Here is a 12,443-nt window from a genome sequence, read left to right as displayed (position 1 = left end):
AGTATTATTAAGTCCACCTGCACACTAAAGTTCCAGGATCTGTGTGTACCAGTGGCAGTGCCCTGCCCTCCCTGTCGTGGAGATGCTCCCAACTTGTTCTCTTTAGTGCTTCTGTAATCAGTGGAAAGGAGCTAAAATAAATGCTTCTTCATGTCCCCACTCCTCCAGGAGGCGTGCACATCCTCCCCTCTATTCAGGAGAGATACTTGTCCCCAGGGCTGGGCTGGAGCGGTGAGCTGGTGTGTGGACACACATGGAAGCTTGTCCTTTTGAGGATCTTCCTTCCCACTTCTCTCTGAGACCTCCTACCTCTACCTATCCAGGCCCTTTTTCTCATTTGAGTAATTCACCTCTCTAACTCCTCTTTCTCCTTTCCCCAGCCCTGGTATTTCCTAGATTCATGGACAGCAAAAGCATGTTCCATGGGCTGATTCTCATCTTTCTCACCCTTAGTTCGACTAGTTCTTTGACTATTTTTTTTTTTAAACAGTCTCGCTCTGTTGCCCAGGCTGGAGTGCATCCAGTGGCACGATCTCAGCTCACTGCAACCTCCGCCTCCTGGGTTCAAGCGATTCTCGTGCCTCAGCCTCCCAACAGGGGTGCGTCACCACGTCCAGCTATTTTTGTGTGTGTTTTTAGTAGAGATGGGGTTTGACATATTGGCCAGGCTAATCTTGAACTCCTGGCCCAAGCAACCCACCAGCCTCAGCCTCTCAAAGTGCTGGGATTGAGCCACTGCGCCCGTCCTGAATCTTGGTTTTTATTTAGTAGTGGGCTAAGGGAGGGTACCCTGGGGTTAATGAAGGAAATACACACAAATCCCCAAAAGATATTATTTCAAAATATAACTCTCCTAAAAGAGTTTTTATAAGTTAGATAATTTTATTATTTATTTATTTATTTATGTGAGATGAAGTCTCGCTCTGTTGCCAGGCTGGAGTGCAGTGGTGCAATCTTGGCTCACTGCAACCTCCGCCTCCCGGGTTCAAGCGATTCTCCTGCCTCAGCCTCCCGAGTAGCTGGGACTACAGGTGCACGCCACCACACCTGGCTAATTTTTGTATTTTTAGTAGAGATGGGGTTTCACTAAGTTGGCCAGGCTGGTCTCAAAGTCCTGACCTCAGGTGATCCACCCACGTTGGCCTCCCAAAGTGCTGGGATTAGAGGCATGAGCCACCGCGCCTGGCCAAATTAGATCATTTTAGAGCTGAAAAAGCTTAGAAATTATTAGTCCAATTCTTTCATTTGTTAACGGGAAAACGGAGGTCAGAGATGTTGAAGGACTTGCCCGAAGTCACCTAGTTAGTGGCAGAGGCTGTGTCACGGAGTCCATATCTCCAAGCTTTCAGGCCAGCATTATTTCCTGAGCATTGCACTGTCTCTTATGTCAGGACTCAATTATTACATTAAAAGTTCCCAATCAACTGTAATTTATACGGGCTTTTAGAATACTTATAAAAACTGTATAGTCTTAGTACGTATGTCAAAAGAACTTGAATATTCTAAATTAAGCCCCACATTTTTCAAGGAATTCGGAAGGGAATATTTCTTGCTCATTCCAGATAGTTGGTTACTTGCCACCAAATTGAAGAAGTGGCTTAGCAGAGATGGTTGCTCTCAGTGAAAGTGGATCCGTACTCATTATTTCTTCCTGGCCTTAGATGTCAGCAGCCTATTTTAATTCACTTAAACCTTCATGTGTCACATCCTGTCTGGACCTCAGGGTTTCTGGAAGAAACAGAAAATAGGATTCAAATAGCCAGGCTTCCGGTCTGGAATAAGGATGCTGTGGTGTAGTGTGCTGTGTTTACCACTAGAGGGCACCTTTTCCCTTGCTTTGGAATCGAGTTTTTCAGAAACTGGAGTTTGCAATCCTCTGTATCTGTCCCTGTGTCCACACGTTAGTAAATTTTTGGTGGCTCAAATGAAATGCTCTTCCCGTACAACAATGGCACTCTGCAATCCTTAACAGATGTGATTGCTGATGGGGATAGTTACAATTCATTCTAGTCAATTAAGAGGAAATTGATGAGGGTGATACTGCCCAGGGGTGAGCAGAAAGAAGTCTAAATGTTTGGATTGGAAAAGGACTAAGAAGAGCTAATACCCTATGCTTTGGTTGTCTGCTTTAGAAGGAAAGCGTTCAGAATAATAATATGATTTAACAAGACAAATAGGGCAGACATATAGGATAAGCCTCATCCTACACAGGTGTGTAGCTAGCAGCCACCTGGTACATTCAAATTCTACTGAGGAAGAAAGGCAGACAAATACTGGGTTTAAAATATCTATCTGGCCAGATTCAGTAACTCAGACCTGTAATTCCAACACTTTGGGACACCAAGGTGGGTGGACCACTTGAGCCCAGGAGTTCAAGACCAGCCTCGATAACATGGCGAGACTTCATCTCTACAAAAAGTACAAAAATTAGCCAGGTGTAGTGGCACACACTTGTAGTTTCCACTCTTTGGGAGGCCAAAGCAGGAGGATTGCTGGAGGGTGGGAGGTGGAGGCTGCAGTGAGATGTGTCACATCACTGCACTCCTGAGGCACTGGGCGGGGCTCAGCAGCTTGTTACAATGTTTATTTTAATTAGATTCTAGCAATTGCAGCCTGTGCAGTGTAGATGTCCTAGGGCTGCCATTGTCTGCCATTCAGGGAACTTGGAATTAGAGCTCTTTGCAGAGATCTTGTGGGCATTAGGGAGAGGAGAAGAGGGGATGGAGTTATGTTTGAAAGTATGAGGAGCCAGTGGAAAAGCTAGGTTCTTGACTATGCCTGATTGGCCAATGACATGGCCACAGTTTGGTAACTGGCTGTGCAGATCCAGATTCTGGGTAGCAACAGCCCTGTACATCTGGCAACACTATGGCGTGTCTCTGTGGCAGCTTATTTTGAGCGTCACGGCTATTACCCAGAGTCAGGAGTAATGTCTTTCATTCTGAGACATCTAAACCCCCAACCACAGGCATGTTTTCTTCCAGGGCAGAGGGCAAATGCAATTACATCTGTGACCAATTTGCACAGCTGGGAGCTCAGCCTCCTGACAGAAACATTTATTTGAGATTCAAGTCTCTAGGGAGCTGGGTCACCAGACAGGAAGTAAGGTCCAGCAAGCATGTGTTGTCTACTATGTGAATGCTTGTTAGGCTGGGCCAGGAGAACAAAACAAAACAACACAAAATGTCAACTTAAGCTTTTAGAAGCAAAAAATCAGCCTTTTCTGTCTACAAACCAGGTTTCTCAGGGCATAGAGGAAAATAAGAATATCCAAATAAGACGGTTGCCATTGACCCCAGTACAAACATAGCATGCACATGGGACATGGAACTCGTGGAAGGGGCAGCTGCCTGGGAGTCAAAGTCCTGGTTTCCAGTTGTGGTTCTACCACTGTGAACTGTGGCATCCTGGGCAAGTCACTTTGCTCAGGCTTTTTATTTTGCAGGATTTTTGTGTCATTCTTGCTCAGAGGCCATGGTAGTCTTCTCCGTATCATTCCAATTTTTAGTATATGTGCTGCTGAAACGAGCACTTTTTTCTTTCTTGCTTGCTTGCTTTTTTTTTTTTTTTTTTTTTTTTTTTTTTGAGACTGGGTCTCACTCTGTCACCCAGGCTGGAGTGCAGTGGTGCGATCACAGCTCACTGCAGCTTTGACCTCCCAGGCTCATGCAATCCTTCCATCAGCCTCCCCAGTAGCTGGAACTACAGGCCTTTTCTGGAGCTGGAAGATAAAGAAAACCAACATGAAAGCATTGAATAGACAAATCCAGAGACCAGCCTAATGATTCTATTTAGTATTTACCCACAGGACAATGTCTCTGGATTGTATTTATTTATATTGTCTCCCAATGGCTTTATTGAGACATAATTCACAGATCATACAATTCACCAATTTAGAATGTACAAGTCAGTGGCTTTTCATATATTCATAGAGTTGTGCAGCCATCATCACACCAATTTTAAAACATTTTTATAACCCAAAAAAGAAACCTGCCACACTCCTTATTTATCAGCCATCACTCCTCAGGGCCTTCCCTGATTCCTTCCAGCCTTAGGCAACCAATGATCTACTCTCTGTTTCTACAGATTTGCCTATTCTGGACATTTCTTATAAATGGAATAATACAATATGTTGTCTTTAGTGACTGGCTTCCTTCACTTAGTGACTGATTTCCTTCACTTAGCATAATCTTTTCAAAGTTCATCCATACCGTAGCATGTATCAGTACTTCGTTTCTTTTTACTTCCAAAAAGTATACAATTATATGGAAATACCATACTGTGTTTATTCATTTGTCCATTGATGGACATTTGGGCCGTTTCTACCTTTTAGCTCTTATGAACAATATTCTGTGAACACTGGTGGACAAGTTTATGTGTGAACATATGTTTTCATTTCTTTTGGGTATATACCTAAGAATAGAGTTGCTGGCTCATACAGTAACTTTGTGTTTAACCTTTCATGTAACTGCCAGACTGCTTTCGAAGGCAGCTGCACCACTTTATTTTATTTTAAAAAATATGTTTATTTTAGATTCAGGGAGTACATGTACAGGTTTGTTACATGTATATATTGCATGATGCTGATTTGGGTTTCTGCTGAACCCATCACCTAAATACTGAACATAGTACCTAACAGGTAGTTTTTCAACCCTTGCCTCCCATCCTCATTCACCACTTTGGAGTTCCCAGTGCCTATTGTTCCCATCTTTATGTCCATGTGTACCCAATGTTTAGCTCTGACTTATAAGTGAGAACATGTAGTATTTGGTTTTTTGTTTCTGTGTTTAATTCACTTAGAATAATAGCCTCCAGCTGCATCCATGTTGCTGCAAAGGACATGATCTCATTCTTTTTTATGGTTATATAGTATTCCATGGAGGTGCACAATTAATTATATATTCCAATGAGCAGTGTATGAGAGTTCTAATTTTGCCACTTCCTTGTCAATACTTGTTATTTCTGTTTCATAAAAATTTTAGCCATCTTAATGGGTGTGAGATGACATTTAATTATGGTTTTGATTTGCATTCCCTGATGGCTAATGATGTTGAGCATCTTTTCATGCACTTATTGGCCATGCATTTATCTTCCTTAGAGAAATGTCTATTTAGATTTTTGCCCATTTTTTAGTTATTTGGTGTTTTGGTGTTGAGCTGTGATACGTGTAATATTATCTGCACATTTTTTCTCTTATTCATTGTAGGCTTGTCTCTTCATTTTCTTGATGGTGTCTTTGGAAGGACAAAAGTTTTTTAGCTGAATTGTGTGCAATTAATCTATTTTTTTCTTTAATTGCTCATGCTTTTGGTGTCATATCCAAGAAACCATTGTCAAGTCCAAGGTCACGAAAATTTACACCCCTGTTTTCTTCTAAGAGTTTTATTGGATTAACTCTTACGTTTTGGTCTTTTCTCTATTCTGAATTTGTACACATTGTGAGACAGGTCCAGCTTCATTTTTTTTTTTTGACATGTGTATATCCAGTTGTCCCAGGATCATTTGTTGAAAAGACTATTCTTTCTCCACTGAATGGTCTTGACACCCTTGTTGAAAGTCAATTAACTGTAAATGTGAAAGTTTATTTCTGGACTCTCAATTCTACTACACTGATCTATATACATCTACCCTATGCCAGGACCACACTATTTTGATTACTATGGCTTTGTACACATGTTGAAGTTGGGAAGTGTGACTCCTCCAATTTTGTTCTTTGTTGAAGATTATTTTGTTTTTTCTGGGTTTCTTGAATTTTGATATAAATTTTACAATTAACTTGTCAATTTCTGCAAAGAAATCAGCTGGGATTTTGATAAGAATTGCATTGAATCTATTGAATAACTTGAGGGTGTATTGCCATTTTAACAACAATAAGTCTTTTTTTTTTTTTGATTCAGAGTCTTGCTGTGTCATCCAGGCTGGAGTGCAGTGGCACAATCTTGGCTCACAGCAACCTCGGCCTCCTGGGTTCAAGCGATTCTCCTGCCTCAGCCTCCTGAGTAGCTGGGATTACAGGCACCCGCCACCACACCCAGCTAATTTTTTGTATTTTTAGTAGAGACGGCGTTTCACCATATTGGCCAGCGTGGTCTCGAACTCCTGACCTCAGGTGATCCACCCGCCTCAGCCTCACAAAGTCCTGGGATTACAGGCATGAGCACTAAGCCTGTGTATTGATCTTTTATCCTAAAACCTTGCTTAAAAATTTATTCATTTGAGCAGTTTTTAAATGAATTCCTTAGGTTTTATTTTTTCTTGTTAATTTTTTCTTTTTAAAATGAGATGAGGTCTTCTTATGTTGCCCAGGCTGGTCTTGAACTCCTGAGCTCAAGCGATCCATCCACCTTGGTGCTGGGATTATAGGAGTGACACACCTCGCCCGGCCCCCTTAGGGTTTTTTAATATCCAAGATTATGTCATCTGAAAGTAGAGATAGTTTAACTTCTTCCTTTCCAATATAGATTCCTTTTTATTTCATTCTTGCCTAATTGCCCTGGGGAAGGCCTAGATTTGTATCTCAGCTGTCTATGGAACTGAATATCTGTTATCAGCCCTCACTGAAGTTTGAATTAGGTGCTTCAGCTCCTTTAACCAGGCAGTTAATGTTTAACATTCAGCCCCCAATGTACATGGAGGGAAATGTACTACCCAGTGTGTATTTCCATAGAGCAATACAGCTCTTAGGCACTGGGGATGAATCAGGAGTGTGCTTGGGTAGGTCACAGCACTGTTTCCAGATGGAGCGTTAGGATGGCAGGAAAGGATGAGAAGCAGCAGAGCTTTAGACAAGGAATCTTTTCTGCCAGTTAATGCCTTTCAGGGCCTCTGCCACAGATAAGGATGAAAGAGGTCAACAAGGAATATGGAGAATCACATACAGACAGAACTGCAGCTGTGACCTGGACAAACCACCCAGCTCCCTCCACCCTCCACACTGCCCACTGCAGAGTGAGATGGAAAAGAAGAGAAAGTCGGGACCGAGTGCCGTGGCTCATGCCTGTAATCCCAGCACTTTGGGAGGCCGAGGCAGGTGGATCACGAGGTCAGGAGTTCGAGACCAGCCTGACTAATATGGTGAAACCCCGTTTCTACTACAAATACAAAAAGTTAGCTGGGCATGGTGGCGCGTGCCTGTAATCCCAGCTACTTGGGAGGCTGAGGCAGGATAATTGCTTGAACCCGGAGGTGGGGGTTGCAGTGAGGCGAGATGGCGCCACTGCACTCCAGCCTGGGCTACAGAGCAAGACTCTGTCTCACAAAAAAAAAAAAAAAAAAAAAAAAGAGAAGAGAAAGTCGGCCAGTTTTTCAGTCTACCAATGAAGTAAGCTGTTTTCTTTTCAGACTTGGAGTGAGCAAATTCTGTAAGCACCCTAATTAATGAGGAAAGCTCCAAGTCAGGCATGTTTTCTTGAAAGCACTCTGTGCCTGTAGCCCTTCTCTGACCAGCCTGGATAGGCAAGACATCCAACGTGATTTCTGAGTTTGTACATATTTGTAGTGGCTATTTGCTGTGAGGTGGAAACAGATCCTGCTCCCGCTTTGGGAGCAATGTCAAGACACCCATGACTTCAGAAACAAGATGAAACAAATATCTTGGTTCATGGGCAAACTGCGCAGAGCAGGCTTTGTGTGGGAGCCCCCAAAGGTGGAAGAGCTATTCAAAGGTTGCCAGAGCCTGAGAATAAACTGGCCCTGACGAGACTTATGGACACGATCCAGTTCCGAGCAAAATCCGTGCCCAACCTCCCTGAAGTGCACCATTGAGAAAACGGCTTGAGAATAGATTGAATGACATGAGGAGCAACATCGGCGGAATGGCTTTAATGAGCCAAAAAATGTGGTTTCAAATGCCCCTGTCTCCGAGTGCCACTGCCTGCCTTTGCCAGCAGATACAAAATCTGTTCACTGAAGCAAACTTAGAGACATGAAGCGGAGCTTATGCAAATTCCAGGTCAGCATGTCGCATTCACATTCAAGTCCAGAAAATTCGCTCCACGTGAGGAAAGATATGTCCGAGCTGAAGGGGAATTGTTTGTGGTCTTGAATGCAGGGCAGGATTGGGGGCGTTGCCGGCAGAAGGAAAACTCTTGCATCTCCAGCAGGGAGAGTTTATGGCTGGGCGTGCTGTTGACTCCCGGGGAGGGGGGTGTTGTTTACTGTACAGTCTGGTCCTAATTATTCAGGGGCCGATTATCCAATTCATGGATTCACTGGCCTAGTGCCTCTCCTCTTTTTAAAGATTTCCAGACTTTTGGTGATGTTACTGCTCAGCTGATGCCAAATGGTTGAAAGAAAGAATGAAAAGAGGATAAAAATAATCTTGCTCCATGTTAGCAATTCCTGTAAACTAGCTGATCAGGGAAAAGGAGCAAACTGCTTGGTTAAAATAGAATCTAGGAATTGTTGGGGATAAGGGGTTTCTTTCTTGGTACCCTATACACGGTGTCCTGGGCCCCTATTGCCACAGGGACGTCCGTGGCAGATTTGCTGGTGACGGCTCCATAAGGCAATGCTCACTAAGTGCAGACAGTGCAGCAGAGCAGCCAGCTGGGCTCACAGTGAGGCTGCTGACTGCACAGTCAAGCACAGAAGCAGACCCCGAAGAAACCTCTGGGCTCTGAGTAGGCTTGGCCTATAGCTGCTTGTGTGTTGTGCAAAAGGATACAAGCTCCATCCAGCTCCTAGACCACCAAAAATCATCACACACTTTTCAGTGATGATTTGAGGGGGTCAGTAATAAATGCCCAGAGGAAAGAAGCCAAAATACAGAGCTGTGAGAGCATTTGGTGAAGCCAGACCTCAAGGAGCCATGGAAATGGGAAATGAACATATTACGGCACGAAAAGGTGTATTAAGCTTTGGGGAGGAAAGTGGGGTGACCTCTTAGAAAGTTAGTGGCAGGAGGATCTTGTGACTTAAAAAAATGTTCCTTTAATGAACATTCTTCCAAATGAATTAATTCTTTTGTATTAATATATTGAAGGCTTAGGACTGATTAATATCATTACTTTGAAGTATAATCTCTTCATTAACTTCTCTCACTTTCCATTATTAGTGAACATTTATATTTTTAACTATACAATGCACATAATAAAATGATTGTGCAGTAATACTTTAAATTTGAAATTAGGATTTTTAACTAGCTTGAACTGAGCTTTCCAAAGATAAGCCCTCCCTACCCCATTGTACTTGTTCTTTCCTCTAAACCCACCACTTAATTCAAAATCAAGGAGTTTCTTATTGCAATTGAAACAGAACAGGAATGTATTTCAGTCTTAAGTCTTCAACCTTGCTCTTGGTATTTTTTCCTTGCTATTAAATTTACAAAAGTTCAAGGCTTTTGGTTTAAATATCCAGATGAGTTTGACAGAAACACTCGACAAAGACAAGGCATGATCTAAATTAGAACTGGTCCTAAAAGCCTTCTCCACCCCACACTTTGAGGATGCTGCAGAAAAACAAATGAACAAACACATATACATCTAGTTTGACCACAATAATTGTTTTTAAATTTATTTGGTCCCAAATGACTTGAAGAATCTAACAAAATGTATGAAACTTCTTCCCAGAAAAATGTATACAAACACAACAGCACAGATTCCCTAAAGCCATCCTACCCTGATTATTGTCTCTTAAAGCAAAAACTGATCTGGCCTGGTGCAGTGGCTCGTGCTTATAATCCCGGCACTTTGGGAGGCTGAGGAAGGTGGATCGCTTGAGCTCAGGAGTTCAAGACCAGCTTGGGCAACATGGCAGAACCCCGTCTTTATAAAACATGCAAAAATTAGCCCGGTGTGGTGGCATGCACTTGCAGTCCCAGCTACTTGGAAGGCTGAGGTGGGAGGACGGCTTGACCCCAGGAGGCAGAGGTTGTAGTGAGCTGAGATGGTACTGAGAAGTGACAGAAAGCTGGCAGCCCTCACAGCCCTCGCTCGCTCTTGGCGCCTCCTCGGCCTCGACGCCCACTCTGGCCGCGCTTGAGGAGCCCTTCAGCCCACCGCTGCGCTGTGGGAACCCTTTCCTGGGATAGCCGAGGCCAGAGCCGGCTCCCTCAGCCTGTGGGGAGGTGTGGGGAGACAGGCAAGGGTGGGAACCGGGGCTGCGCAGGGCGCTTGCAGGCCAGCTAGATTTCCGGGTGGGCGTGGGCTTGGCGGGCCCGCACTGGGAGCAGCCGGCCCGCCCCACCAGCCCCGGGCAGTGCACCTGAGCCAACAGCTGCGGGGAGTGCGCTGGGTTCCCTAGAAATGCTGGCCCGCTGGCGCTGCACTCGATTTCTCGCCGAGCCTTAGCTGCCTCCCCGCGGGGCAGGGCTCGGGACCTACACCCCGCCATGCCTGAGTCTCCGACCCCCGCCTTGGGCTCCTGTGCGGCCTGAACCTCCCCGACGAGCGCCGCCTCCTGCTCCACGGCGCCCGGTCCCATCGACCGCCCAAGGGGTGAGAAGTATGGGCCTAGGGCGCGGGACCGGCAGAGCAGCTCCACCGGGGGCCCCGGTGCGAGATCCACTGGGTGAAGCCAGCTGGGCTCTTTAGTCCGGTGGGGATTTGGAGAACCTTTATGTCTAGCTAAGGGCTCATAAATACACCAATCAGCACTCTGTATCTAGCTCAAGGTTTGTAAACACACCAATCAGCACCCTGTGTCCACCTCAGGGTGTGTGGATACACCAATTGGCACTCTGTATCTAGCTAATCTGGTGGGGACTTGGAGAATCTTTATGTCTAGCTAAGGGATTGTGAATACACCAATCAGCACTCTGTATCTAGCTCAAAGTTTGTAAACACACCAGTCAGCACCCTGTGTCTAGCTCAGGGTTTGTGGATGCACCAATTGGCACTCTGTATCTAGTTAATCTGGTAGGGACTTGGAGAATCTTTATGTCTAGCTAAGGGATTGTGAATACACCAATCAGCACTCTGTATCTAGCTAATCTAGTGGGGATGTGGAGAACTTTTGTGTCTAGCTCAGGGATTGTAAACTCACCAATCAGCACCCTGTCAAAACGGACCTATCAGCTCTCTGTAAAACAGACCAATCGACTGTCTGTAAAGTGGACCAATCAGCTAGAGTTCCGGGTGGGCGTGCCCCCCCCCCGCCCCACTGCGCCCCCCCCACCGCCCCGCACTGGGAGCAGCCAGCCTGCTCTGCCACCCCGGGCAGTGAGGGGCTTAGCGCCCTCTCTTATGTGGGTGGGGCCACATAAGAGAATAAAAGCAGGCTGCCAGAAACAGCAGTGGCAACGTGTTTGGGTTCCTTTCCCCACAGTGGGAGCTTTGTTCTTTCATTCTTTGCAATAAATCTTGCTACTGCTCACTGTTTGGGTCTACGTTGCATTTATGAGCCCTAACACTCACCATGAAGGTCTGCAGCTTCTTTGTTGAAGCTAATAATATCACGAACTCACGGGTAGAAACAAACAACTCCAGCTGCGCCACCTTAGGAGCTCTAACACTCACCGTGAAGGTCTGCAGGTTCACTCCTGAGCCAGCGAGACCTAGAACCTCCCCACCCCCGTAAACTGCACACGTCTGAACATGAAAAGGAACATACTCCAGACACACCACCTTTAAGAATTTTAGCACCCACCACGGAGATCTGCGGCTTTTTCCTTGAAGTCAGTGAGACAACCCATCAATTCCGGACACATCAGAACTCAATTCTGAACTGCTGGGATGGGCGATTCTGATTTCCCTTTGGCTAGGGGTGGTCTAAATGCTTTCTCTGTGGAGCGGCCTCGGCTTGGTTCAGCCCGCTTTTGTTTTCTACTGTGACAGGGCAGCACTGAGTTCAAAGCAAAGTGTAACAATCGCTGTGCTCTCCCTCTTCCTGAGCACATAGATTCTCTCCATGGGCTACACAACTACTATGGTATGAGGGAGAGGCGTCAGCAATTCAAGACTCTCTTCAGTAGCTCTTTCATAAGTTAAAACCACATACTGGGGGTGCTTTTCTGATTTTTGGTTATTATGAAGGTGTTTTTTTGTGTAGTTATTAAGTTTGATGTTCTTGGGAGACAACTGGTGAAAATTTTTTTTGAGATGGAGTTTCTGTTGCCCAGGCTGGAGTGCAATGACGCAATCTCGGCTCACCACAACCTCCACCTCCGGGGTTCAAGCTATTCTGCCTCAGCTTACCAAGTAGCTGGGATTACAGGCATGCACCACCACGCCTGGCTAATTTTGTATTTTTAGTAGAGATGGGGTTTCTCCATGTTGGTCAGGCTGGTCTCGAACTCCCAACCTCAGGTGATCTGGCTGCCTCAGCCTCCCAAAGTGTTGGGATTACAGATGTGAGCCAGTGCACCTGGCCCAGAACCTTCTATTCAGCCGTTTTGCTGCCTACTTTAGCATTTTCTAATCTAATCTCAGAATCTGTTATATGAAGGAAATCTATTAATGGGAACCAGTCTATTATTTGGAACTAATGTTGCAAAGAATGTATTT

At 45.0% G+C, this 12,443-nt stretch overlaps 1 pseudogene, besides 2 other annotated features; it reads right to left on the bottom strand.

Moving 5' to 3' along the window:
* Window positions 2,512–2,721: an enhancer, noted in NCBI's record as "active region_24098". NCBI's record gives its function as "activates an Ori minimal core promoter by ATAC-STARR-seq in GM12878 lymphoblastoid cells {active_cell/tissue: GM12878}" and the evidence as "EXISTENCE:reporter gene assay evidence [ECO:0000049][PMID:35858748]".
* Window positions 2,932–3,021: an enhancer, noted in NCBI's record as "active region_24097". NCBI's record gives its function as "activates an Ori minimal core promoter by ATAC-STARR-seq in GM12878 lymphoblastoid cells {active_cell/tissue: GM12878}" and the evidence as "EXISTENCE:reporter gene assay evidence [ECO:0000049][PMID:35858748]".
* On the bottom strand, window positions 3,426–3,532 carry RNU6-1114P (RNA, U6 small nuclear 1114, pseudogene; annotated as a pseudogene).

This window comes from Homo sapiens, chromosome 6 (genome assembly GCF_000001405.40).
Source record: "Homo sapiens chromosome 6, GRCh38.p14 Primary Assembly".
NCBI lineage: Eukaryota > Metazoa > Chordata > Mammalia > Primates > Hominidae > Homo > Homo sapiens.
Note: the sequence above shows the minus strand (reverse complement) of the source record. Positions and strands in the feature narration are given on the sequence as shown.